The sequence below is a fragment of the Homo sapiens genome, chromosome 6 (assembly GCF_000001405.40).
Source record: "Homo sapiens chromosome 6, GRCh38.p14 Primary Assembly".
In the NCBI taxonomy this organism is placed as follows: domain Eukaryota; kingdom Metazoa; phylum Chordata; class Mammalia; order Primates; family Hominidae; genus Homo; species Homo sapiens.
In genome coordinates this window covers 51,802,905-51,829,657 of record NC_000006.12, presented here as the reverse complement: position 1 = coordinate 51,829,657, position 26,753 = coordinate 51,802,905, and the positions used below count along the sequence as shown (strand labels likewise).

Sequence of the window (26,753 nt, the reverse complement as noted above, 5' to 3'; positions counted from 1 at the left end):
GTGTGAGTGGGCTGACCAGTACAAACGTCAATTATTATTATCATCCCACTTCCCAGTAAACCACCTCTCTTTGATGGAGGATGTAACTTTTTGAATAAACAAGCTCGTGAGTCATTCCTATATGAAAAGGAAAAATCTGTTCTGTCTCAGCCATCTCTTTGATGAATCTAGCCAGCGGATTCACCCTGGGCTATGGTTTTTCCCACTAAGCAAGCTGCTTCCCCCACCCCATGCAGGAAGCAAGAGAAGCTTTTGAAGGTTGCCAAGCTTTTAGTATCCTTTGGGGTTTTTATGCCGAGCAAGGAGCAATCTTGGCCATTTTGCTTGGCACTGCAGTTGACTGTGTCCACTGTGTGTCCTGGGTCCCGGGATCCCTGGCTTTCTCCACTATTCTTCATTCCTTTGTCTATGGTCAGCTCATAAGATCATAGGATGGGCCTGAATTCTCCGTGAAGCTGCTCTTAAATAGCACAAATCAATGCTGGGTGGGGGAAAGGAGGTGGGGCACAGGCATTGGATGTAGAAAGGACTTTCCAGTTGGCCTTTCAGTGTTATTGTGATAATCAGAAAAGTTAAGAATTTTAAAACATACACAGTTATTTTTCATTATTTCTAGCCTTCACATGAAAAGACAGGTGAGTGAAAAACAGGTGTGTAATATATAAAAAATAAAATCCTTGCTCATTGTCCCTCTCCTGTTGTCTAATAACCCCTCTTCTATCTCCAAAAAATGATCTGTGATTGATGAGCGATTGAATTCATTGTGCCATTTGGATTGGGGTCTTATGCAGGAGCTGCTTGGCCTTACTCTTCCCTTCTGATTTTTGACAGGCTGATATTTTGACCTCTGATGGGTCTCTGGATTGAATCTACCTTTGTTTTCTGCTTGTGGTTTTGTCTCTCTCTGAACTCTCCACCTTTTCCTGGCTCCCCTTGTTTCTTTCATTCCTAGCCTTCTTTAAATCAAATAAATTTGTCCACCTGACTCTGGCGCAAAGTAGACGTTCAGTAAGCATCATTTGGATGAAGTGCATGAACTCATTGCTCCCATCCATAATTCAATAGCAGAAATAAATCTTTGTGTTTGACAGCATTGACACATACCACTATAGGATTTTACAGTCTGTGGAAAAAAATGTCTTCTCCTTTGAATAGATTCCTAAGAATTATGAAATGATTTTTACGATGATAGTAATGATGGTGATAGTAGCAACTATAACTTGAGTGCTTGGTGTGTGACATGCACCATACTAAGTATTTTACAAGGATTTTTTTTTCATATAATTCTCACTACCACTCTATAAGTGGATTCTGTTATTATCCCTGTTTTTACAGATGAAAAATCTGGGATGCAGAGAGGGTAACTTGCTCAAGTTTTACCCAGCCAGTAAGTAAAGAAGCTTTGCAGGAAATCAGAGAATTTAAATCAAGAGTTCTAACTCTTCATTGTATCTTTCTTTTTTCAAAAAAACTTACCATCAATACCTGCTCTGATATCTCCAAATTAGACTATATATTATACTGAATTTATGCCCCTCCACATTCTTCTCTTACCATCCGCATTCTTAACTTGAAATAAAACAAAAATAAAATAAAAAACTATTATTTGTTGAGTATCTCCTGTATGTCAGATACACTGCTTGAGGTATTTAATCTTATCACACATGCTTGGAAAAACTGGAGATACTTCCCAAAGAGGTATGCAATGCAATGAACCATTGCATTAGAACCATTCTAATGCAATGAACCATTAGTAAAAGCATTTGCTTTGCATCTGGTAGCAGATGTAGTTGTAATTCAAATGAACACCCCTTTCCAGTTCAGTTTAGCAAATATTTACCAAACATTCACTCTGTTCAAGGCACAGTTCCAAGCGCTCATGATCTGGGAACCCAAAGTCAAGTTCCATACAACTGTGACCAGCCAGGGATTTTGCTGGGTTAATAAAACACATAATGCACAATAATACAACAAATAGCCATAATAAATACTGAATGTGTTTAGAATCATAGTGTCTCTAGGGTAAAGGTGGCTTCATGGAAGAAGAGGCATTTGAAGTGAATTTTGAAAGATGAGGTAAGAATTAGAGGGGCAGTTATGAGACACAAGGGTATATTGGGGATCCTTCAGGATATAGGATGAGCTGTCGACTAGGATAAACCTGGGGTTCACATTTGGCTTCTGACATTTACAACGGTGTGACATTGGACAAGCTGTAAACCTTTCTGACCTTTATTTATAACATTAGGGCTATAATTAATATAATGTTAAGAAAGATGAAATGAGATAACATCAGTGCACATGACCAACGCATAGAGTTTTGGCGGTAATGGAATTACAGATGAAAGCTGTGATTTGTAATGTATCAGGTGCTCTTTTCCTTCATTTTTCCATCTGGCTGCCCCTCTTGGCCTCTGGTATTAGCAACACTTTGTATTTGCTTTCCAATGGCTTATTATTTAATTTTCACAACATCCTTGGGAGCTAAATAGGTAATAACTATTATTACAGTAAAAACCCATTTTTACATAATACGATTTTAATGGAACTGCTGATTTTACAAAATGAAAGTGACTGGTAAAAAAGATTTAAGTGATACTTTTGAACCTCTAATATAATTTTATGGTGTTTTGTGTATTTTAATTCATTAATAAAGGAAACGTGTAGAACATTCCCATCATTATTCAAATAGAATAGCATAATTTTTCAATAAAATTCTTAGGGTAAATTGCCTATTTCCATTTTCTGGGAAATCAATTTTATGGAATGACCTCAGACCCATCCTATTCCATAAAAATAGGACTTTACTGTACTAATAAAAGACATCACTATCTTAAGTATGGTACCATTTTCCTTCAAGGCGTTCTATCTTTATGGACATTGGATTTTGAAAGAACTGTAAATTCTTCTCTGTGGTATTATATGGAGTAAGCTGAGGTAATCATTAAGAATTTGCTCTTGTAGTTTAAGTTCGTGATAACTTTGCTTCAACAAGTAAGTGTATCTGACTGTCTTTGCTTTCTAAATATTGGAAAAATTGGCCTGAATGCATTCTCAACTTCTTAAGTAGTAGGAACAAGTTCTGCCTTACTACGCAAATCTCAAACCTTCATAAAGAATAGCTGGTCAAATGGCAAAAGATCCCTCTAGCTTCTGCTCTATGCCTTGTTCTAAACTGACCAGAGTGGATTTGTGTAAGATGCCTCCAGTGCTTTCTCAGGATTCTGTTTTGAAGGGTGCAAATATGATATCATGTAGCCTCCAGCATCTTTGTGTGTTTATGTGTGTGGTAGAATTCACTGTTACATTTTGTATATTACTTTGAACTGTCCTTATTTGAAGACATGAATGGGAGAGTACTGTTTTTCTTTTATAATAGCTCTTCTGTTTGTTCTGATTTTTAATATTCAGTACCTTAAATGCCAGAGAAGCTTATCAAAGTCGTGTGATGTTCAAAGATGGCAATATGTAATGCACCTCCTTGTTAAATTGCAAAAGATCATAATAGGTTGGTGATATGAAGCAAGATGATCATAAATCAGAAAGTAATTTTTGAGGGGAGGAATTCTATGAAATCTTGTGATTATAAAACTATTGACTTCATTCACCTTTTTCTTATCTGAGATTATATGTAATTCAGTATTTCATACTGAATTATAGCAGAGATGTAGGTCTACAACACCAATTAGAAACCAAACAAATATTGGTGATGTTTCTATAGCTTGTGTAGTTCTCAAATTTTGGTCTTGTACCTTTTGGATGGGACATAAAAGCAGTAAAGCCCACCACCCCACTTATTCTGGATTAGCAAGTGGGAAGGGAAGAAATTTGGGCTTCAGCTACTGGGGTCCTTTTTGTAATGTGTGGCATCAGAATGGTGACAAGTGGAGTGGGTGTTCTGAAACTGTATCATTACCTGGCAAACCACCCAGAAACCTAACAGCATAAAACACACATTTTATTTTGCTTACAATTTTATGGGGAAAGGCGAGGCCGAGGTGTTCTAATTTGGGTTCTTCCATGCATTATAGTTAGATAGTGGCTGGACTGTGGTCATTGAAAGGCTCACCTTGGCTGCCTTTAGATGCCTTTAAGATGGGTCATTCATATGGCTGGGCCTTGATGCTGGTTATTGGCTGGGAGCTTAGGATAATCAACTAAGAGGCCTCAGTTCCTCTCCTCATGGGTTTATTATGGGGCTGCTTGGGCTTCCTCACAGCATGATGGCTGGATTCCAAGAAAGAATAGCCTAAGAAAGGTGTTCCAAAAGTAAGTGGTCCAAGAGACCTGTGTGGAAGCCACATGCCTTCTAAGCTGGCTCTGGCAAGCTCAGAATATCATGGCCATCAACTTCTTGGTCAAGCAAGGTCCTGAGGTCAGCCTAGATTTAGGAGAGAAGAATTAGGTTCCACCTCTCAATAGGAGGAATAGCTAAGAATTTGCAGCTGTCTTTAATCTACCTCTGTGTATGTGTTTATGTGTGTAAGCATATATGCATGTATGTAATTAAAAGCAGATGTACCTGACTTAATTCAAAAAGTGCTTTAGAGCCTGCTAAATTTGTGCTGTCTTCCCTGTCTGGACAGACTTTATTTAGACTCTGTTGGCTTGCATGAATAAGAAATTACAGAACACCAGGAGACAGACTATTCAAAGGGTTTTAGTTTCTTTATTTTATTTTATTTTTACCTATAATGCTTAGTGTTAATTACACCACCTCTTCTCTGCCTGAAAGTGGTATTTGTCAACTCTCCAAACATAATTGGGCCCCCAATTTGGAATTGCTCACTTTGCAGTGGGAATGGACGGTAGTTGTTGAACTGCAACTTGTGGTCAAATCTTTACATGTGTGACCAGAGCCTCTTCTTAGAAGAGAGGGATATGGTGGGATGAGGAAAGACATGAAGGAAACATATTTCGAGCATTTTCTTTCAGGGTAGACATTAAAGATCCAGGGAGACAACAGTTGAACTTTCCTTTGACCTTCTTTAGAAAGTGAATGGAAAAGCTGTTCTTTAAGCTACTTTTGACCTAAAAACTTTAATCAACATTATTTTCCAATAAAAATAAATAAAAAGAAAACCTGAAGTCAAAGATGAAAGGATCTTTGGAAACTGTCTATTTCTCCTTCCTTTTAGGCAATTTCTTAGAGAGAATCATAGACCTTAGTGAACCTTGCTTTAAGGATGTCAAAGTCGTGTCCTCACCACTGGAAGGAAGAATTTCAGACTCCACAGAGCAGGTGTTCTCACCAACATCCCCAAGCAGTTTATCTTTGAAATGATGAATGTAAATAAACTTTTCATATATCAAATCATTTAAAAATATACTATAGAAACTTACAATTTAAAGCAGTCTAAGTATAAAGTGCTTTGCTATATGGAGTCCCTTGATGAACTGATTACCTAGTAATTTATTTGTTTTCTTTTGAGGTGGATTTACTTATAAATATTAATATATATGTAAATTATAGACACATAGAATTGTTGATTTGGCAGGAAATGTAGTGGCTTTCTAATCCAACTAATAATAATCTAAATAATAATGTGTTTTATAAATTGTAAAATGCTATGACATATGTTAAGATTATTGCCCAAACTTATATGATGTTTTATACCAAAGCTGAGTGAAATTTTAGTCCCCATGCTTCAACCCAGTGTTTTAAGTTGACCCCTAAAATTTATTAAAGGGACTACTATTGATTTATTTGTTTTGTTCCTAAAATAGGATTGAATTTTGAGACAAAACACTTTGAGGCTAGGGAGTTCCTTCTAGTTGCAATGACCACGATTCAAACGGATGCTCCCAAATGAGTAGCAGCAGTCCCCTAAACTTTCTAACCAAGATCTGTGACACAGTGCTTTTGCCAGGGTGGACAATTAGGAGTGGGAATTAAAAAGAATTTTTCCCTCAACTATATATGCTTTTCTTCATAAAAATGAAATTTCGATTAAAATAGCAGTGCATTTTTCCCTGTGACAGAATAAACATAAAAATATAAATATATTGAAATAGGTTGAGATTCTTTTTCCAATCTTAATTTGTCCATGTCTGCTTGAATCAGTCATGGCATTTGTTTCTGGCTAATTAGAACTCACTTAGGGTCTACTCTTGGGATCCAAAGTCAGGTAGGCCTTGACACTCTTTATGGCTTGCTAACTTGCTGGAACTAATTCGAGTTTTACTCTAATAGAGGACTTTTACAAACCTTTTCTTGTTTTCACTCACCTGAGAAACACACTCATTGTCATGGTCCATTAGCATTAGCATCATGGATCATAGTAATTTTCTAGGAGGGGCACACGTCCCCAGGATGTAAAGATCATGGGGTGGCGGTAATTGGCAAGCATGAAGTATATAAGAGACTCGGGTTTTATTTTGGTATGTGCTCCCATCTAGAGAATAACTACTTTTATGATTTCAAATACTCCACCTCAGTCTCCCAGAGGTGTGACCGTATTGGGCACCTTCTGTTGTAGCCTGAGAGGATTCTAGCAGGTATTCCTGTAAAACACCTATGATGCTTTCCTTTAGTTGCAATAGGTATAATTTTTTTTTTTTTTTGCTACTATAGCAACTTCTTTCTCTTACTTAACCTGTACAAACTTTCAGCAGCAGTTTACAACTATTTCTTAAAGAAACTATGCATTACTTTCCCCAGGATTTCAAGTATACTTTGACCTTAACAATACAAATTACAAGCTATATAGTAGCAGTAAATGCAATGATGGCTGCTATGGAAAAATATAATAAGTACCATAAACTTGATGGGAAAGCAGAATTGATAGGGTTAACAATTTATCGATTGTAAAAAAATAAAGAAAAATGAGCTGAGAAGATGACCAGAACTTTTGCACACAGGTGAATGCCTAGGGGTACCATCAATAGAAATAGAGGATGCATGTAAAGGAGTAGGTTTAGCAGGGAGGATAATAAATTCCATTATAGTCATATACTCAGGTTCATGTGCAGATGCCTAGATGGTAACGGGAAATGTGGACCAGAAGATTGAAAGGAAGGCCAATTGAGAATCTGGATTGCAATTTGGTAATTCTCAGAAGAATTGACTAAGGAAGCCTTGAGTATTGAATGGGGGTTAGGACTCATATGAGAGCTATTGCAGAGAGATATAAGGATTGGGTAGAAGTCAGCATCTTAGGGCAATGCTAATTTAAGTTTCAGGAAGAGATATCATAGAACGAGTAGTCATGAAATTAGAACCAGGACAGCAGAAGGCAAGGCAGGAAAGGAGCAATACCACGATGATGGAGGTGGTTAACAGTAAATTTTCCAAGGAGGACAAGGAGGATGGTAATTTGGAAATTGCTTGAGAATAAACTATATCCTCTGTGCAGGCTCCCACTAATTAAATGCAAAATCTAATGTAACATCTCTTGCTTGTTTTATAGTTTCACACATCTGGATTGTATCGGTGTCTTCAAGGATACCCATATCTTTGTTAAAATTAAAAACCATTACTGCCCATGAGCAGACTTTTAAGGTGGCAGCCAGGTTGTGTCCCTGGTCACTTTCTGGTTACAGTACTGCCCGGTGTTCTAAATTAATAGGCTCAGGTAATAGGCTCAGTCCCACCAAACTGGTTAATGTGTATAGCTCAATCAGCTTGATTTGGAAAATAGAATAGGTTATGTCATTTAAGGAATTACTGTCAGCCAGGTGGAGTGGCTCACGCCTGTAATCCCAGCACTTTGGGAGTCCGAGGCAGGCGGATCACTTGAGGTCAGGAGTTTGAGACCAGCCTGGCCAACATGGTGAAACCCTGTCTCTACTAAAAATACAAAAATTAGCCTGGTGTGGTGGTGTGCGCCTGTAATCCCAGCTACTTGGGAGGCTGAGGCATGAGAATCACTTGAACCCAGGAGGTGGAGCGCTTCAGCCTGGGTGACAGAGCGAGACTCCGTCTCAAAAAACAAACAAACAAACAAACAAAAAATGAAATCACTGAATCCCTGTCATTTCCTAAAAGTAGAGTATTACAAAAACACAACACAATACAAAATATATTTTGTTTTAAAATTTAGGAGATTATGTATAACTCTTAGAATGAGTTCAATCCTGGAGGTAAGAATTGAAGTCCATGTTATTTAAAACAGGCAACATTACTCTATCAGAGCTAATTGGTTAATTCCTTTCAGTTCTGGAATACCGACAGTGGCATCCATAGGTTTTAATATTTATTTGGAGACATAAATATCAGGAACTAATGTCTTTAAAATCATTGGTAAAGAGAATGACCTGCTACCCTGGTTTATCCAGGACTGAGGGTGTTTCCTGGGACATAGGACTTTCAGTGATAAAACCTGGGAAGTCTGAGGCAAACCAGAATGATTGGGTCACCCTACTAAGAAATCACCATTAAAGTTTGTGCCAACCCCATATTCTATGATTTGCACTGCAACAAGTTTGCTGAGGGTTAATAAAAATTTCCCCTGATTAAAATGCATAAACATATTTTACCTAGTTTTATTGCCCTAAGAACTTTGTCTCATGGAATTAATATTCTTTGAGGAGTGTTACCAAGGCCTTTCTTACAAAAGAAGGGAAACTGAGTGATTGCATATGTATTTTACCCCCCTGGTTGGGGTTGGGAAGTACAAGCCAAGCAAGGAGCAGCTGCCCGTGGGAGTTTTTAATGCAGAGCAGGGCTTTTTTCACGTGTTCTCATTGAATTACTTTTTTTCTCTTTATGGTCTGTTTTCCATGCAGATATTTTTGGAATGTAAAATTAAATAATTCATGATTTCCCAATCATTGGTTTAGGTACAGTTGCCATTTCTTGAGTTGATTATACTCCCTTGAGGGAGCTTTTGGAGTTTCCTCATGTACAGAGGTTTAGAGATAAGAACTTTGCTGAAGTGACAAGGTCTTTGTAGGTACAGGCAGGCCAGCAGGGGCAGGAATGGCATAGTTGGCTCATTGCTGACCCTTAGGTTACCACACTATTAAGCAGCTCAAGGGTTCTTAACATTTTATATGTCCCAGATCCCTTTGGCAGTCTGGTAAAGCCTAGACCCATTCTCTAAATAATTTTTTTGATACATAAAATAAAGTAGGATTATAAAAGAAATCAGTTATATTGTTATGGTTATCAAAATATTAAAATAAAATGTGATATAATATGCTCCTCTGTTAGAAGGTTGAGTAACAGTACCTAGCACTGGTTCTAATAGGTATCGTAGTTTCAATGTCATTATTGCAGAAATTCTCCAAAAAGGGCTACCATAAATTTTGTTCCTTCCTATAAATGCTTGCTGCTCCTTCTATAGGGACATAGAGCTTCCTGCCCTCCCCTGGAATCTGTGCTGGCCTTTGTGACTAGATGGACTGACAGACTGTATTAATAGAATAATGTTCTTGGATTTTGAAGGCTAGGTCACAAGAACCCTTGCATTAGAAGATCCTTTTGCCTAGAAGTCTCATTTGCCATTGGGGTGTTTCCTTTTGGAACACATACCTTAGGCTATGGGAATCTAAATCATATGGAAAGGTCATTTTTGTGCACTGCTTGGCAGCCCCAGATGGAGATAAGCTGTAGCCAAGAGCCAATCTCAGCTTCCAGCTATGTAAGTGATCTATCTTGGATATCCAGACCAGTTGAACCCAGTAATGGGTCTTGGTGAGAATTCTGATATTTTCTTTATCTGCAAGTACGTTAAAAATCTCCTATTTTATTTTTAGGTCAATGTTACTCAGGATTTCTTATGTTTACTAAATAATGATACTTAGAAGGGACATTCTAACGTTCAGTTCATTAAGAGTATATACATAGGCACTGGTGGAGCTAATGGTCCAAATGCCATCCAAGAGAGCTAAAAGAGATTAAAACCCCTCGCAAAGCCAAAATTGATTTACATGTATTCCATCACTGCTGTTTGCATAATGTGTGATATGAAAACAGAGTTCAGAAATCATGCATTTATTCAGCAACTATTTACTGGGTGCATAACTTATTATGTGCCACTTTGCCTCATGTTGGAGATAAAATGATGAGCAAAATAGTTCTGAGACCCACCTGGAACATACTGCCTAGCTGGGGAGATAGAAATGTAATTGCATGTAGTTAAAAATGAATACGACTAACAAATGTGCTATAGGAAACATTCAGAGAGTAATGAAAGCATATACTGTAAGACCTGGACCTGGACTGGCATAGAAGTAAATTCAATTACAATTCATATTTGAAGGCTAAAAGCAACAATTTAGATATTAGCTATTACTGGTAAGAAATTTACCCAGGATTTCTCAAAGTGTTTCCTCTGAAACTAGCTCCCTGTAAGCATCACATGGAAAAAAAAGTAAGTCAAACAAATTTGAAAAATTTTGGACTAAGCACAGATAAATACTTTTTTTTGTTTCTGGTCTTTTCAAATCCTTTTATATGACAATATGGGTTGTATAACTTTCGGAGGGGGATATAGTACCAGCTGTTCTCCAGCATGTTTGATCGTGTAACACTTTTATTCACAGAGCAGCTTATCATGCTGAGGATTCAGGGAAACATTTTGAGTACAAAGAGTTCTCACACCTAATTTAACACTCACGACCATTCTGGGAGTTTTGTTGTCCAGGTATTAAGAATTAGGGGTTTGGGTATCCAGGTATTAGGAAGATTAAGTCTTCTGTGAATAAAAAAACCCTGAAAATTATTATTTTTATTAAAAATTGTTATTATGGTACGAGGTTGATAGATATGTCAGTTTACATCTCTCTTACATAAAAATCTGTTCCATGGTGTCAGGGACTTGGACCCCTTCTACCTTTTTGTCCTCCAGTGTTTTTTCTATTTCCAAAGTCACTCGGTGGTCCATCAATGTGCTGGAGCACCAGCCATTGCAGCCGCATTCCAGGCAGCAGAAAGGAGAAAGGATTCTTCTTTTATTTCTCACATGACACTTCTGTTTACATCTTAATAGTGTAAACTTAGCCACGTGGCCACTTCTACCTGGAAAGGAAGCTGGGAAATGTAGTCTTTTGGCTAGGTGACAAACTATTCAGCTAAAAATTGGAGTTCTTATTACTAAGGGAGGATAAAATAAATACTGGGAAGCAGCTAATGGCCTCGGCCACATTTTTTGTTTTCACATTTTACAGTTGAGGGAAATGATCGCAAGAGGGCATGCCCAAGAAAGAGCTCAGAGATAACAGAGACAGTAGAGTCAAATCTAGGCCTCTGGATTCCCTGAGTCTGTCTAGTTCATTACACTGTTCCTATTTAAACATGTGGGAGGAAATAAAACAGAGCCTTTAAAAAGCTGTGTTATTAAGGGTCATGGTGATATACACAGATGACACCGTTGCAAAATATATTTTATGGAAAAAGTATGAATATATGTTTCTCAGAGCATTTGCCCAGATTTGGAAATTAGTGGTATTTGATTAACAAACAATTGCAAGCAGTAAGTGACTGCCTTTTGTTTTGGCTGCATTATCCAGGCCAGGATTCTGTTTGTTGGGCTGCTGTGCACTCCGGGGCCCGCTCTGTGTCTAATGGCTTGTCCTTGCTTTTCTTCATTTGTAACATCGGCAATGCTCTGAAAGCCCTGGATCTCGTTTGAAACCATCTGTTTGCCTCTTTATTTACATGATAACGTAACCTGATTGCAATTTAGTGTCTGGATAAAAAACATTGCTCTTACCTAGATGGTGCTGGGTTTTTGTCAGGCTTAATGACAACCCATCTGACTGCATTTTTCAGGCAGCAGTAGTGTGTGGAGAGATGGTGTCTGTATAGCCCACGCACGGAGGTGGTGAATGTTCTGCACTCTGCCCAGGCTGTCTGGGCTGTGGTCAGCAAGGGGTGCAAATGGCAGGCACTTCTCTGCTGTCTTCCAGAATGTTATTGGCACCAATGGGGCCTTCTCATCTTTGTGCTTCCTGTGTCCAGGGAAGCTCCAGAAGAGTAGAAGTTCTTTGTTTATTTGTTAGAGGAGTGAGCGAGTGAGTGAATGAATGGATGGAGGCATGGTGGATTGAATAGAGTGCTGATTAAATCCCAGCCGCTCTCATTCATTCATAATCGGTGAACGTGTGTTGGATCAGCAGGAATGATTGCTGTTGGCATAGTGAGGCTGAATGCCTTGGGGTGTTTGCTCTGGGGACACGGCTGTAGTCCTGAATCAAAACTCTGAAACTGACACACCAGTCCCCTTCCCTCTCCCCTCAGTATATCATAGGGCAGGAAGTAGTGTGTGGCAGCTCCTTCTTCTTGAGAAATCTAGGGGGATGGGTGTCTACAGCAGAGTTTCCTCCCATAGGTTGAGGTATTGATAATTCCAATCTTCACCACAATAGCATTTTTTTTTCTTACTAAATCCTGCGGAAAAGAGAAGTGGGCAAGATCCTATGATGACACACATTTTGTGAATAGGGTTTACATTTAGCAAGATCACCTGTAGTAAGGAAATAGAGGCACATACCTTATGTAGAGTGGTTCCCAAATTGCTGACTTCTAAATGCTCCTAGAGAAAAATGGGAAAAAAAACCCCTCAAAAAACAAGTCTGTCCCTAAGATCCCAGAGTTCTGGTAATATGGGAAAGAACTTCTGGGGCCAAGGCTATCCTGGAAGCCCCATGACTCTCTCTTGCTCCTCGGATAAAACGTCCTGTATCTATCCCTGCCTTCACCCCAGGTTGCTTTTCATGTACTACAAAGAGGGTCAAGAGCTTGGTTCATAATTTATGTTTTCCTTCACCCTCACATTGACCCCAGGGAGTGGAGGGAAGGGTATTTTCAAAGAAAAACCTTAAGACAAATTAAATTTAACAGAGTTTAATTGAGCAAAGAACCGTTTGCAAATTGGGCAGCCTCCTGAGCCACAGTAGGCTCAAAGAGGCTCTCGTGCAGCCATGTGGCAGAGGATTTATGGACAGAAAAAGGAAAGTGATATACAGAAAATAGGAATGAGGTACAGAAATGGCCAGATTGGTTACAGCTTAGCATTTGCCTTTTTTGCACACAGTTTGATCAGTTGGTCGCCTTTGACTGGCTGAAACTCTGTGATTGGCACAAGAGTAGGTTACAGTCTGTTTACATATCTAGTTAGGTTACAATTAACTATATGCAGAGAAGCCTTTAAGCCAGACTTAAAATATGTAAGGAGGCAGCTTCAGGCTAAACTTCATTTAACAGGTGTCTTCTCCCATCCAGCTCTATTGCCTCAGCTTCTTATTGGCTACAAAGCCCACCACAGGTGTGTTACCTCACCACTCTCCTTATCTCTTTTCCTCTTCCTTTAGTTGATTTGGTTTAATGAAAGGTGTACAGACATCTACATGCAATTGCACAGAGCACAGAGGCATGGGGGTGTAGATCTGTCTTAGCTGTCTAAGTAAGTAGGGGGCTTCCAACATAGGTTTGAATGATGACTTACTGAAGAACAAATAGAAAATGTCAAAACCTTTATTTTTCCTTATTTTTATTCTATTCCTTGAAAATTTTCTTTTTCTATGTTTTACTATGTAGATAATATTTATTACATTAGTATTGCACTACATATGTGTAATTAGCAATTTATTAATACATTTATGAGAAAGTAAATCATATTGGGAATATATGGTTAAAATTTTACCCTTCCAGAAAAGGAATATTTGGCACTTACTTGAGTTTTAATATCATATTACTGTTTATTTACTATGGCAAGCATCCTTTTTTAAAGACATATTAGTAAAATATGTGCTATATATGCTATACATGATCATATATGTATATGGTTTCACAAAAGATTTAACAACCAAGTGGCAAAATATAAAGTGAGAAATTTTACTTCAGGAACCAGAGCTAAGGCTGACTATGAATCTGAAATAATCTTGTTTTTTTCTTATTTAGTTGGAAATAAGTTAACCTTTACAGAAACCTGAGAAACCCAATTTTCAAAATCAGCAGGCTTTAATTTTTCTGAGGCCTTGGTCTTGGATATCGATGTTGCATGATACTTGGGGGCTTCCTGAAGCTTTCAGAGTCGATTTCAAACGTATTTGTTTGGACTGCAGAGCCCTTTGTGATCTGGCCTCATCGTCTGCTGTTCTCCTGCATGCATTGTTGTCCAGTTCTACTTATCTACTCATTCTTCTTGGATGGAATCGACTATTTCTTTTCCAGTTATTTTTACTTGCTCTTCTTACTACCTGTAACTTTTTCCACTTCTCCTTTCTTTCCCTTTCTCTCCCTCCCCACCCTAAACCTCTCTTTCAGCTTATTTATTTTTGTCCTTTAACACTCAACTTGGTGGCACCTCTTCTAGAAAGTGTCCCCGAATCCTCATTTGATTTAATTCTCCTTCCGCTGGGTTCCTACAACACCTTGGATATATTTCTGTCATATACCCTTATTCTGTAAATATTACTTACTTTTATGTCACCTCGAGAACAGAGGTTATGTCTTATTTGACTTTTTATATCTCTAATGCAAAGCAGAGGATTTGGCTTATAGCCACAACAAATGCTAGAGTAAATAAATGAAAGAGTGAGATGCAGTCACTGACTAGTCAGTCCCTACTAAAGTATTTCCAGGACTTTTGGAAACTTAAGGGGGAGATGTCACTGTGTCACTGTCATACTGAGAATCTTGGCAAACAAAGGGTGGATGGAGGGTGGCCGTTCCCTGAGAACCTTAGCAACTGACAAAGAGGTGCTGATTTTCTCTGGAAGACCTGGTGGTCTGCTGCAGAACTCAATCTGGGAATCATTCTACATTAGCATTTATTTATTTAGAATCCCTGGGCCAGAAATGTACTCTCTGTGAGATGTGCTTCCCTGCAGGTAAGAAGATGCAAGGAGGGGGTGGGTTCGTTCCTTTTCTTGATGAAGTTCTCTGAACTCTAGTATTCCCAGTAGGCACCTCTCATTTCCTGTCTCCCCTGGTGAGCCGGTGGCCTTTCATTCAAGCTCCTCCACACAGCTTGCCTCCTCCCTCCTCCCACACCTTCCACCTGAGCAGTTGACAGGCCTCCTGTGGCTCAGCACCTGAGGAGCTGATGGGCCTGGTGTGGCTTGCCAATCAGGAGTTTAGAGCTCTCTGGGGATTTACTGCCTTCCAAGCCTGCAGGCCTCCTGTGGCTCAGCATCAAGGTGCCTGACACACCTCCTGTGGTTTTAGCTAGTGAGCAGCTTGTGGATCTTCTGTTTGCTGTGAAATGGTTTCAGAGGTTACCTTTTCTCATTTGTATAGTGTGGATGCACCTGTTTTTGTTTGTTTTCTTTTTTGGTGAAACTATAAAAGAAAGAGTGTAAATGAGTAAACATTGGTGCAGGCTTAGAGCTATGACATTGGCTACTGTGAGGAAGCCCAAGTTTTGCTGTTTGCAGTGCTAGGCCTAAATCCCAGTATGGTAAGGAAATTATCTGTGACTGAGAGAATCGTAGAGTAACTCTTCTTGGCTCCTAGTGTATGTACCTGGTATTTAATGATATCTTGCAAGTCTGAATGAATTAAAAATGTTTCTAACACTTCTAAAATTAACTTATTCATCTGAAAGCCACTGAAGGAAGGCTTTAAGGCACAGCAAGCTGGCCCCTAGTTCAAGTGGAACAGGAAGGAAATGGTTAAAGGATTTTTAAACTGCTAAAGGGGGCTTTTACATTTTTCTGGGAAAGCAGCAGTTTGCATGGAAATCACAGCTTTTATACATTAAGTATGGTTATGAGTCTTTCCCTCAAAGCTGTGTGAGAAATGTGGACTTTTTTTTTCCCTCCAAAGGAAATGGAGAATCAGGACCAAAGACTCATGTAGCTTTATGCCTAGGTTTTTCAGGTAACAAAGAGAAGGGGAAGGCTGGTTTGTTCTTAGAAAATATAGTATTTTATTAATAACATAGTTTTTGCCACCCCATGCTTAGTACAAGCCTCACCCAGAGAGGAAAACTTTAACCACAATTCTTATAAGCTCTACTATTCCGATATCTTTTCTTTTCCTATCCTATTTCTACAATCTCCCATCACAGTCAAGCCCAAATCATATTGCGTTAATAAGGACCATACCAGAATTTTAGTTCCAAGCACTGCACTTACTTTTTCAAGATCCCAGGTTACTTGAATAATAGTGGTCAGAAGTTAAAATCAGAAGGCCACAAAATATTACCAGTAAAAAAAAATGTAGGAAATAGTAGAGATATTCACATTTATTTTTTGAGCCAGAAAAAGTAATAAGTTATATAAATATAAGGCCATAGAAGGCTATGGCATGTTGAGGAAATATCAGATCCTTCATTTAAACACAGGAACAGTTATTACAGAGTATGGTGATAACAGTGGTAGTACTAGCAACAATGTACCCGTTATTATAATAACATGAGTTCAGTTTTTTAATGTTCCAGGCACAGTATTAAATATTTATTTTATCTCACTAAAGCTTTATAAATATGGTGTGACATTGGCACCATGTTTGACACACTAAGAAATCAAAATTGAGAGCAGTTCTGTTAATAAAAAGGTCAAACTCTTCAAAATATTTGAAGAGTTTTATTTTGAGCTGAATATGAGGACCATGTCCTGTGACACAGCCTCAGGAGGTCCTGAGAACTTGTGCTCAAGGTGGTTGGGTTACAGCTTGTTTTTTTATGTTTTAGGGAGACATAAGACATCAATGAATGCATGTCAGGTATACATTGGTTTGCTCTGGAAAGGTAGGACAACTTGAAGTGGGAAGCAGGCTTACAGGTCATAGGTGGATTCAAAGATTTTCTGATTGGCAATTGGTTGAAAGAGTTAAATTATTATCTAAAAACCTGGAATCAATAGAAAGGAGTGTCTGGGTTAAGATAAAGGGTTGTGCATACCAAGGTTCTTATTATGAAGATGAAGTCTTTAGGTGACTACCCTTAGAGGTAATAGATGGCAAACATTTCCTATTCAGACATTTGAAAGGTACTAGACTCTCAGCTAATCTCTTCAGGATCTAAAAAAGACCTGGAGATGGAATGCGATTCTCTAAAGAATATAAATTTCCCCCATAAGAGACAGCTTTGCATAGCCATTTCAAAATATGACAGACAAATATATTTTGCGGTAAAATACTTTGATACTTTCAGGACCTGCTATCTGTCATGTGATGCTCTACTAGAGTTGGGTTGGAATTTAGTACCTTATTGCTCCAAAATAGTCTGTTTGTCAGTTTTAATATCTCTGTTTTAATGTTAATGCTGGTCAGTTGTACCTAAATTCCAAAGGCAGGAATGTATAATGAGGTATGTCTGATGACCACTCCTTCCCATCGTGGCCTGAGCTAATTTTTCAGGTTTCTTTGGAATCCCCTTGGCTGAGAGGAGGATCCATTCAGTTGGTTGGGAGGCTTAGAATTTTTATTGTATTTTATTTTGGTTTCTTAACTTTATTTTGTTTCTTAAACTTTAGCATGCATAAAAGTCAATGGAAATGTTTCTAAATTACTAGTGATCTATATTTTGAACCAACTTTGCAAATGGTACTGAAACTCTAATAGGGTGTCTGTGGACCTACCAGCTATTAAAACCCTAGCTTAGAGGATAAGTAATATTCCCTGGGTCCCACAGCTACAAAGGGACCGAGCGGGATGTAAATCCAGGTGTGTCTCATTCCTGCTGCTCTCTCCATGCTGGCCTCCATGTTGCTTTGTACCTGAATGAAAGTCCAATACCTTTCTTGTCTTAGACATCTAATTATATATGGCTATCTGACATCTTTACAATTAGTATTAGGCTTCTGTAACTTTGTTCTTTAAAAAATTTTAAACATAATACATAATTTTTTTCTGTTCAAAATAATGTAAAAATATACAAAGCAAAATATCAAGAACCATTTAGCCCTTTCTTTTTGCCCTCCCCTGGATAACTGCTATTCTCAGTTGGGATTACATTTTTTTAAATATGTGTATTTATTTATATAATGAATAACTTTAAAAATATTAATTAATTGAGTATTTTACTACATATCAGTTTCTATCCTTAGCGTTTTGGATGAATTCACTTTGGAATCCTCACAACACCCTGTGAAGCACTATTACCATCTCTCTTTATCAGGTAGCCGGGAAACTGAGAAATAGAGATCATAAAAGTGATTGGTAGAGGGACAATATTTGGACCCAATAGTTTGACTCTAGAACTCTTATATGCCATGCTAAGATGTTCCTTAATTCAGCAATGAAAAGCATATGTTCTAAGTATTCATATGTGACTTTCAAAAAAGTTAAGTCTATATTCAAAATACTATCATATCAGTAATGACAAATGTCCTGCATCCTTTTAAATGACAGTGTAGTTACCCAGAGTAGGAATGTGGTATAATTTATTGAATTACCATCTTACTGATGAACATAAATTTTCACCCCAATTTTTTCACTTTTATAAACAATACAATGACAAAAATATTTATGCCTCATTGTTCAAGTGGGAGAATTTTTTCAGGTCAGTTGATCTTAAAGTGAATTCATAGCCTACCTATAGCTGAGATCATCCGGGTTACTTCTTTAAAAATGCAAAACATACCTTCAAGGAACACATAATCACCATATTATAAACTCTTTCAGAACCTGGAGAAAAATAAAAATCTTCCTAATTCATTCTTAAGGCTATAGGATTGATTATATAATTAGATAAAGGTGGCACAAAGAAGAAAATTAAAGGCTAATCTCATTGATATTGAGGAGAAGTCTTACTAAATCCAATGTACCTGTGCTTCCAAAGAATCACAAATTATAGTTAAATAGGGTTTAATCCCAGGAATGCAAGGATAGTTCTAGAATATCAGGAAAAATAATCTAACATAATTCAGTAAGACAAAATTAGAAGTCTCTCTGTTTCCCCAAGATTGTACTTTCTTTTTATAATAATGAGGCACGATATTCCATATATAAAGAGCCAAGAATGACTAAATAAGTTTTATTGTCTTTCTTCCCCTTGTCACGTGCAGTGCCAGCTTCTGCCTATACTACTCTGTGTCTTTATCTGAGTAAGGGCTTCTTAAATATTCAGACTGTCCAAGGTTCCAGGGCACATCAGGGCCATGGGGAAGTGTCACATATTTTAGGTGGCTAAGGGTGAGTGAGCAGAGAAAACTATTTCTAGGGCAGTGGGGCAGAGTGAAGGATGGTATCAGTGGGCTGAAGAAGGAGAAGATGAACCAAAACAGAAATTAATAGGCTTATTATGGTTCCCAATCACAAGTCTTGGAAAACTTGGGATACTGAGGGTAAAATTTCTCTGTTATTTTATAGAAGCATCTAAAGTAAAGAAATCTGAAATCTAAGCAGACATTTAAAACAAGATTTTTGAAGGCATTTCCTGTTTTTTGTTGTTGTTTTCTTTTGGTGTAGAAAATATGCTGTCTTCCTCTTGAATGTGGCATAGATTATTTGTATCCCTTGGTTAAGGGCAAGAGTTAACAATTACAGTATGTTAAACTCATCTGCTTCCCATTAGAAGAAAAAGTGTTTACATGGTAGTATCGAGTGAATTTTGTAGGGTGTTTTCCAAGACCCCAAATCAATTTTTTTAAAAGCATTTGATAAATTTCTATCTGTTAATACTCAACAACAATTTATTATTACAGAAATAGGGGAATTTCTCTTAACTGGATATAAGGTGTTTACAAGAAGTCCATAGGAAATATTATAATTAAGTGTGAAAGGTTAATTTCATTCCTGTTAGTGTCGAGAATAAAACGTGAATGCCTACTCTTATTTCTATTACTGGAGATACCAAACAATGCAATAGTACATGAAAAAAATAGGATAGAAAGCACAGCCACTTGAAAGAAGCAGGAAAACAATTACTGGTAAGCCTATGTTTTTTTTTTTCTAGAAAAAAAATACAAGATATTTAAGTAAAATGGCTGGCAACAATACTAGCATGCAAGGAACAATAGCATTCCTGTATAATAGCAATCACTAATTAGAAAATGCAATAGACAATAAATTCCACTTTTGATGGAAAAAGGTAAAATACCTAGATATAAACAAAAAATTCATATGTCATGTGAAGAAAAACCCCCTGAAAACCTTGCTAAATAGGTGGAATGCTGTACAAATACAGGAAGACACAATGATGAAAAGATTCTCCCCCACATGGATTTATAAATTCAAGTAAGCCTAGTTAAAATTGCATTTAGATTAAAAAAAATTAGAACGTGAGAAGCTGATTCTAATATTTTTAGGAAAAGCAAATATACAACTGGCAAGGATTTTAAAAACATTATTTTGGGGAGGATTGGTCTAGATAAAGCTGGTATGATATTGTCATAGGAAGAGGCAGGAGAGGAAAGTGAATGAGACAAAATAGAGTCCAGAAACAGACCCATGGATATAAAAGAATGTACTTAGTAATTAAGATGGCATTTCAAAACAGTGGGAAAATACTACGTTTCAGTAAATTATGTTGGAATAGTTGTCTACCCACATGCTAAAAAAAATTCTGTTGTGTTCCCAAGTCATGCCATGCCAGACGAACTAGAGTCTTATATTAAATATAAAGGAATCAAAAGGAAATACAAGAAACTATTTTTGTATGCTTCTAAAATATTCTGTGTTTTTAAAGTGTGTTTGGGAATATGCTTAAGCTAAATTTTCCATTTGCTTTATTTTGTATCTTTGAGTATTAGTTCTTGGGATATTGAATTGATTATTGATTATTCAGTATATCTCTTTCATAGTTTTCTGATTTTCTTTGTGTTTATAATTCTTTGTTTGCCTTCCCATAAATCCATATTTCAGGAAGTTGTCTCCAGTGATTATGGACCAGCAAAGTGGCAATAGGGAGAACTTTCTAGAGAGTAATCTATGCAAGGTAATGGAGTTTGATCTTGTCCTAATATTAACTTAGCAAGCAAAAACTGAAGTCAGAATAAATTGAAACATCATACTGAACTCCAATTCCAATGGCAGAGTCAAATTTTGCGTAGATCCACATTCCATAAATATCCAAATGTAAAAATTGCAAATATGAAGATAAAATGAGAAAGGAACATTACCTATCAAAATGTAAATTAAGGGACATTAGAAACAGGAAGTCAAAGCCAGGTCAAATAAGAAGTCTGCACAGCTTATTCTCTTGCTCATATTTCTTATATTCCTGTCAGCAGAAAAAAATTACATGTCTGACAAGGACTAAAAGACACACATACATAAACACACACACATGCAAATGTGTGTGTGTGTGTGAGAGATTCTTTTTTAATTTGCATTTCAAATAAAATTATGACTAGTCTCTACTTTTAATTTTAATTTCAATTTTTTAAAAGATTTTAAAGTAGTGTATTTACTTTGTTCAAAATTCAAAGAGAAAAAGATTGCTCATTGAAAATTTTCCCTTCACCCATGTCTTCCAGCCAGCCAGTTTCATTTCCTGAAGATGGCAGTGTTACTGGTTCCTTCCTTTGGTATCTTTCGAAAGATATTCTGTGCTGCATATGCAAAAATTAAAAAAAACACACACTACATTTATTTTTATTCACTCCCTTTGTATAAATATTACAAATTGTACACTATGTGTGCCTTGCTTTAAAAGCTATTATTATTCCATGTAATTATTCCATATTAGTATAGAAAGATATGATTATTCCATATTAGTACAAAAAGTACTTTAATTTTTAAGAGATTTATTGAGATATAATTCACATACCATAAAATTCATCCTTTTAAATTGTACAATTCGTGGTTTTTACAGAGACATGCGATTACTGTAATTAATTTTGGAACATTTGATTACCCCCCAAAGAAACCCCATACCCCTTAGGCTATAACTCCCTAGTCCGCAATCTCCCCCAGCCACAGGCAACCATTAATCTACTTTCCATCTCTACAGATTTTCCTACTCTAGACATTTCATGTAAAAGGAATCATACAGTGAAGTTTCTCACCCTGCATGATGTTCTCAAGTTTCATCCATGTTGTAATATAGAACTAGTCTCTATTCGAGAATGAATGGATGGATACAAAGACTCCATATGTAAAATACATGCTTGGCTTGATATATGGATGTCTAGATGCATGTGCATTAATTTCATTAACTATTTTATGTATTTATACAGCAGTCACTCATTCTTACGTATTAATTCTCATTAGTTACTTTTAAAAGAATCCTGTTCAGATGGTGTTAAGGTAATAAAGTTTTTTAAGTAGACATTAAGCCAGATGCTCATATAGATGGATACACACACACACACACACACACACACACACACACACATATACATATATATATATATATATATATTTTTTTTTTTTTTTTTTTTTTGAGACAGAGTCTCGCTCTGTTGCCCAGGCTGGAGTGTAGTGGCATGATTTCGGCTCACTGCAACCTCTGCCTCCCGGGTTCAAGTAATTCTCCTGCCTCAGCCTCCCAAGTATCTGGGATTACAGGAATGAGCCACCATGCCTGGCTAATATTTTTCATTTTTTTAGTAGAGAAGTAGAGATGGGGTTTCACCATGTTGGCCAGACTAGTCTCGAGCTCCTGACCTCAGTGATCAACCTGCCTCGGCCTCCCAAAGTGCTTCGATTACAGGCATGAGTCACCATGCCTGGCCAGATAGATATATTTTTACACACAGAGTTTTATAGTAGAGATCATCCCTGATTTCTATTGGTTATTAGCAGAAGAAGTCTAATGTTTACATGATATGATTTAGAGGTGAACTGAAAGTGTGTCCCAAGTTCATAGTCTTTTGCAGGGTATTTTAGGTATCCTCAGGCTCCTCTTTAAAGGAGACAAGTATATGTAAATTGCAGCACCCCTTTCTTCTCTTTCTTTCCTCCTGTTGTAACAAAGTGTTTTACCTTCTCCCAAAGATAATCCCACCTGATGTTCTCTGCATCTTAATGCTGTTATTCCTTTTCAGATATCTCAGTCCATAATTGTCTCCTTCCTTTCTCTTTCTTGTCTGCAGTCTTTCCCTCTCTATATGACATTTCCTATTAGCAAACACATTTTTGAATGCTCCATATGATTTTAAAAACTCCCTTGAATTAAAAAAAAACCCTCATCTATTTTTAGATAACGATTCTTCTCATTCTGTCTTGGTGATTTTTGGAGAACATACATTTTCTAGTTGTGAAGCTATTGATGGTTCTTGAACTCATAAATATGTTTTGTCTTTTCCCAAGGATCAGACCTATATGTGTAATTGTCCACTTGAAATCTGCACTGGGATGATGTACAGTTATCTTAAACTAAAATAACTCAGAGAGAATCCTCTATTCTTGCTCTCTCCCTACCAAGCCTGCCATTGCCAGTGGCCAACTTACTCTTCTTCCAGCTTTCCCATTCCAGCACATGGCACCATCTTCCACTCTCAATTGCTCAGGGTTGTTCTTGACACTTTATCCAATCCTGGCTATTCTGCTTCTTGAATGTTACTCAGATATGTGTTTTTTAATTTCCTCTCTCACCACCCTAATATATGCATCATGGCCTCTTGGGTGAACCACTAGAATGCCTCTTTTTTTTTTATTATACTTTAAGTTTTAGGGTACATGTGCACAATGTGCAGGTTAGTTACATATGTATACATGTGCCATGTTGGTGTGCTGCACCCATTAACTCGTCATTTAACATTAGGTATATCTCCTAATCCTATCCTAATCCTATCCCTCCCCCCTCCCATCAGTGTGGCAATTCCTCAGGGATCTAGAACTAGAAATACCATCTGGACCCAGCCATCCTGTTACTGGGTATATACCCAAAGGATTATAAATCATGCTGCTATACAGACACATGCACACGTATGTTTATTGTGGCACTATTCACAATAGCAAAGACTTGGAACCAAGCCAAATGTCCAACAATGATAGACTGGATTAAGAAAATGTGGCACATATACACCATGGAATACTATGCAGCCATAGAATGCCTCTTAATTATTCTTCTCCTGCTGTGCTTACCCTCATCTACTCCATTCTCCCCCACTGCAGCCAGAGCACTCTGAAAAATATGAGTTGGCTGTGTAATTTCCCTCTTTCATTTCCCCTTAGTGGCTTACTTTCATTATCATGACAAAAATCTCATTGTTTTTACATAGTCTTCCTAATCTGCTCTCTTGCCCGCCTTTCTAGCCCTGCCTCTTACCTCTCTCCTCCAGATTCAGCAATGTGGGCATTCCTGTTGCTTTTCAGTCTTTTTTAAAAAATATAATTTCAACTTTTCATTTATATTCAGATGGTACATGTGCAGGCTGGTTACATGTAAGTATTACATAACGCTGAGGTTTGGGATATGAGTGAATCCTTTCACCCAGGTAGTGAGCATAGCACCCAATAGGTAGCTCTTCAGCCCTTGCCTTCATCCCTTCTTTCCGTCTCTAGCAGTCTCTAGTGTGTTATTTTCATTTCTATGTCCATGTGTACCCAACGCTTACCTCCACTTATAAGTGAGAACATGTAGTATTTAGTTTTCTGTTCCTGTGTTAATTTGTTTAAGATAATGGCCTCCAGCAGCACCCATGTGGCTGCAAAGAACATGATTTTATTCTTTTTTATGGCTGTGTAGTGTTCCATGGCATATGTGTACCACAGTTTCTTTATCCAATCCACCATTGATGGGCAGGTAGGTTGATTCCATGTCTTTGCTACTGAGAGCAGTGCTGTGATAAACCTACAAGTGCATGTGTCTTTTGGTAGAATAATTTATTTTCCTTTGGATATATACCCAGTAAGGTGATTGCTGGTTTTAATGGTAGTTCTATTTTTAGTTCTTTGAGAAATCACCAAACTTTTTTCCACAGTGGCTGAACTAATTTGGATTCCCACCAACAGTGTATAAGCATTCCTTTTTCTTCACAGCCTCGTCAGCATCTATTATTTTTTGACTTTTTAATAATAGCCATTCTGACTGGTGTGAGATGGTATCTCATTGTGATTTTGATTTGCATTTCTCGCTTTTCAGTCTTTTGGATGTATGGAGCTCTTTCCCGCTTCTGACTTTTCATCTGTCCTGCCTCCTTTCTCTGGAGCAACTCTACACCTAGTTAACTGCTGCTCACTCTTTAGGTCTCACCCTTGATCCCTCACTGTTACTCTCATAGTATTATGTATTTTTCTTCTTACCAATTTGCAGAGTTTGTGCTTATGAAGTTTTGCAATTGTGTATTAATGTCTTATTTCCTCCACAAAATTTTAGATTTCATGAGGCCAAGAACTGTGTCTCTTTGGTTCACACAATAGCGAAGTGACAGGTATAGAGCAAGTACTCCAAGCTACATGTTGGGCATATGAAAACAATAGCTGATAATTGAATGCCTTTTATGTGCCAGCCACTGTAATAATTTTTTATGTGGCATTTCGCTTAATTTCTCCTGTTACCGCCCCCCCCCCCCCCAATGAATTAGTATTTCTCTACTTAGTCATGTATAAGTGAGTTGAGCCTAGAGGGACTTGGGACACAGCTGAGAAATTACTGGAACTATAGAACTACTGAGACCCTTCATCTGTGTGGACTGTTGGTGGTTGGGCATCAGTGGGATTCTGGCCATTTGGTAGTTATGAGCAAATGAGGTCAGTAGTTTATCAGAGATGGATGGGCACTCGAAAGTAGGAAGAAACAGACATAGTCTTTTTTACTTTGAAATGTTGCCTGGGCTTTGCCATGATCATTTTGGTGGGTATCACAAGCAAATACTAAAAGGACTTCACATCTACTTCTTTGTTCTTCCAAAACTCATCCCATCAATTTCATTACCTGGTGGCTCACACCTGTAATCCCAGCACTTTGGGAGGCTGAGGCAGGCAGATCACCTGAGGTCAGGAGTTTGAGACCAGCCTGGCCAACATGGTGAAACCCCATCTCTACTAATAATACAAAACTTTAGCCAGGCGTGGTGATGGGCACCTGTAATCCCAGCTACTAGGGAAGCTGAGGCAAGAGAATTGCTTGAACCCAGGTGGCGGAGATTACAGTGAGCCAAGATCGCACCATTGCACTCCAGCCTGGGTGACAAGAGTGAAACTCTGTCTCAAAAAAAAAATTTCTTCTCTATGTGAAGTAGGAGCCTTGTTTTATTTATGTTTGTTTCTTTGGCATATATCACAGTGTCTGACAAAGCACTTGGTAGTATTTGCTAAGTGAATGAATGGATGAATGAGCAAATGTATTGGTCAGTGATAATACCTTTTCTTTATATATCATTTTTCTCCTGGGGTCTTCTAGTCATCTTGGATTAAAAAGAGGAATTAACTCTAAGGACAAGGATTTCAGTATGTTTACCAAGCAAGGATATTTTAGAGTATTGGGACTTTTGATAGAGGTTGTAGAATCCAGATATTATTGTTAGAATAGTTAGAATTGTGAATAAACATTCTAGGAACCTTCATGATCTCTGGGACAATATTCGAATTCAAGTGGAAAATAACATATTTTGGAAACCCCAAGCAAGAACTCCTTGCTTTGAATACATGTAATTTACTGGAATTTACAAGAAGACTTTTAAGGGAGTTAATTTTTGGGGACTTTCCAAAAAATATGGAAAATATAAAAATATTGAGAACAATGACAACTTCTACAGAAGTTATTTTGTACTTTATAAAATATAAGCACTTTATTAATTTAGGAGCACAACATATAGATTGGTTTGCTCAGAAAATATAAATTTTGGTACAACATATTAAAATAGAAAGTAGAGATTATTTACTAAATATTTGTTACTCAGATACTACATTTTAAACTCTCTCTTAAACATCAATTATAATTGATATAATATATGTATATTTAACAAACAAATAGGATACAAGCATCTTATTTTTAAGATTTTAATAATCTTTTGGGTTTCTTTTCCTG

The 26,753-nt window shown here is 37.4% G+C and overlaps 1 protein-coding gene across 23 annotated transcripts in view; it reads left to right on the top strand.

The window, feature by feature from the left end:
• The window catches only part of PKHD1 (PKHD1 ciliary IPT domain containing fibrocystin/polyductin), a 472,317-nt gene that overhangs the window by 257,958 nt on the left and 187,606 nt on the right, over positions 1–26,753 (top strand). The window contains exon 53 of one of the 23 annotated variants that reach the window (XM_017010952.2): positions 617–635. The exons of the other annotated variants lie outside the window; for them this stretch is intronic. Coding sequence (XP_016866441.1) covers positions 617–627 — 11 coding nt within the window. The 3' untranslated portion in view covers positions 628–635. Of the gene's footprint in view, positions 1–616; positions 636–26,753 lie in introns of those variants that run through there. 23 annotated transcript variants of the gene reach the window in all.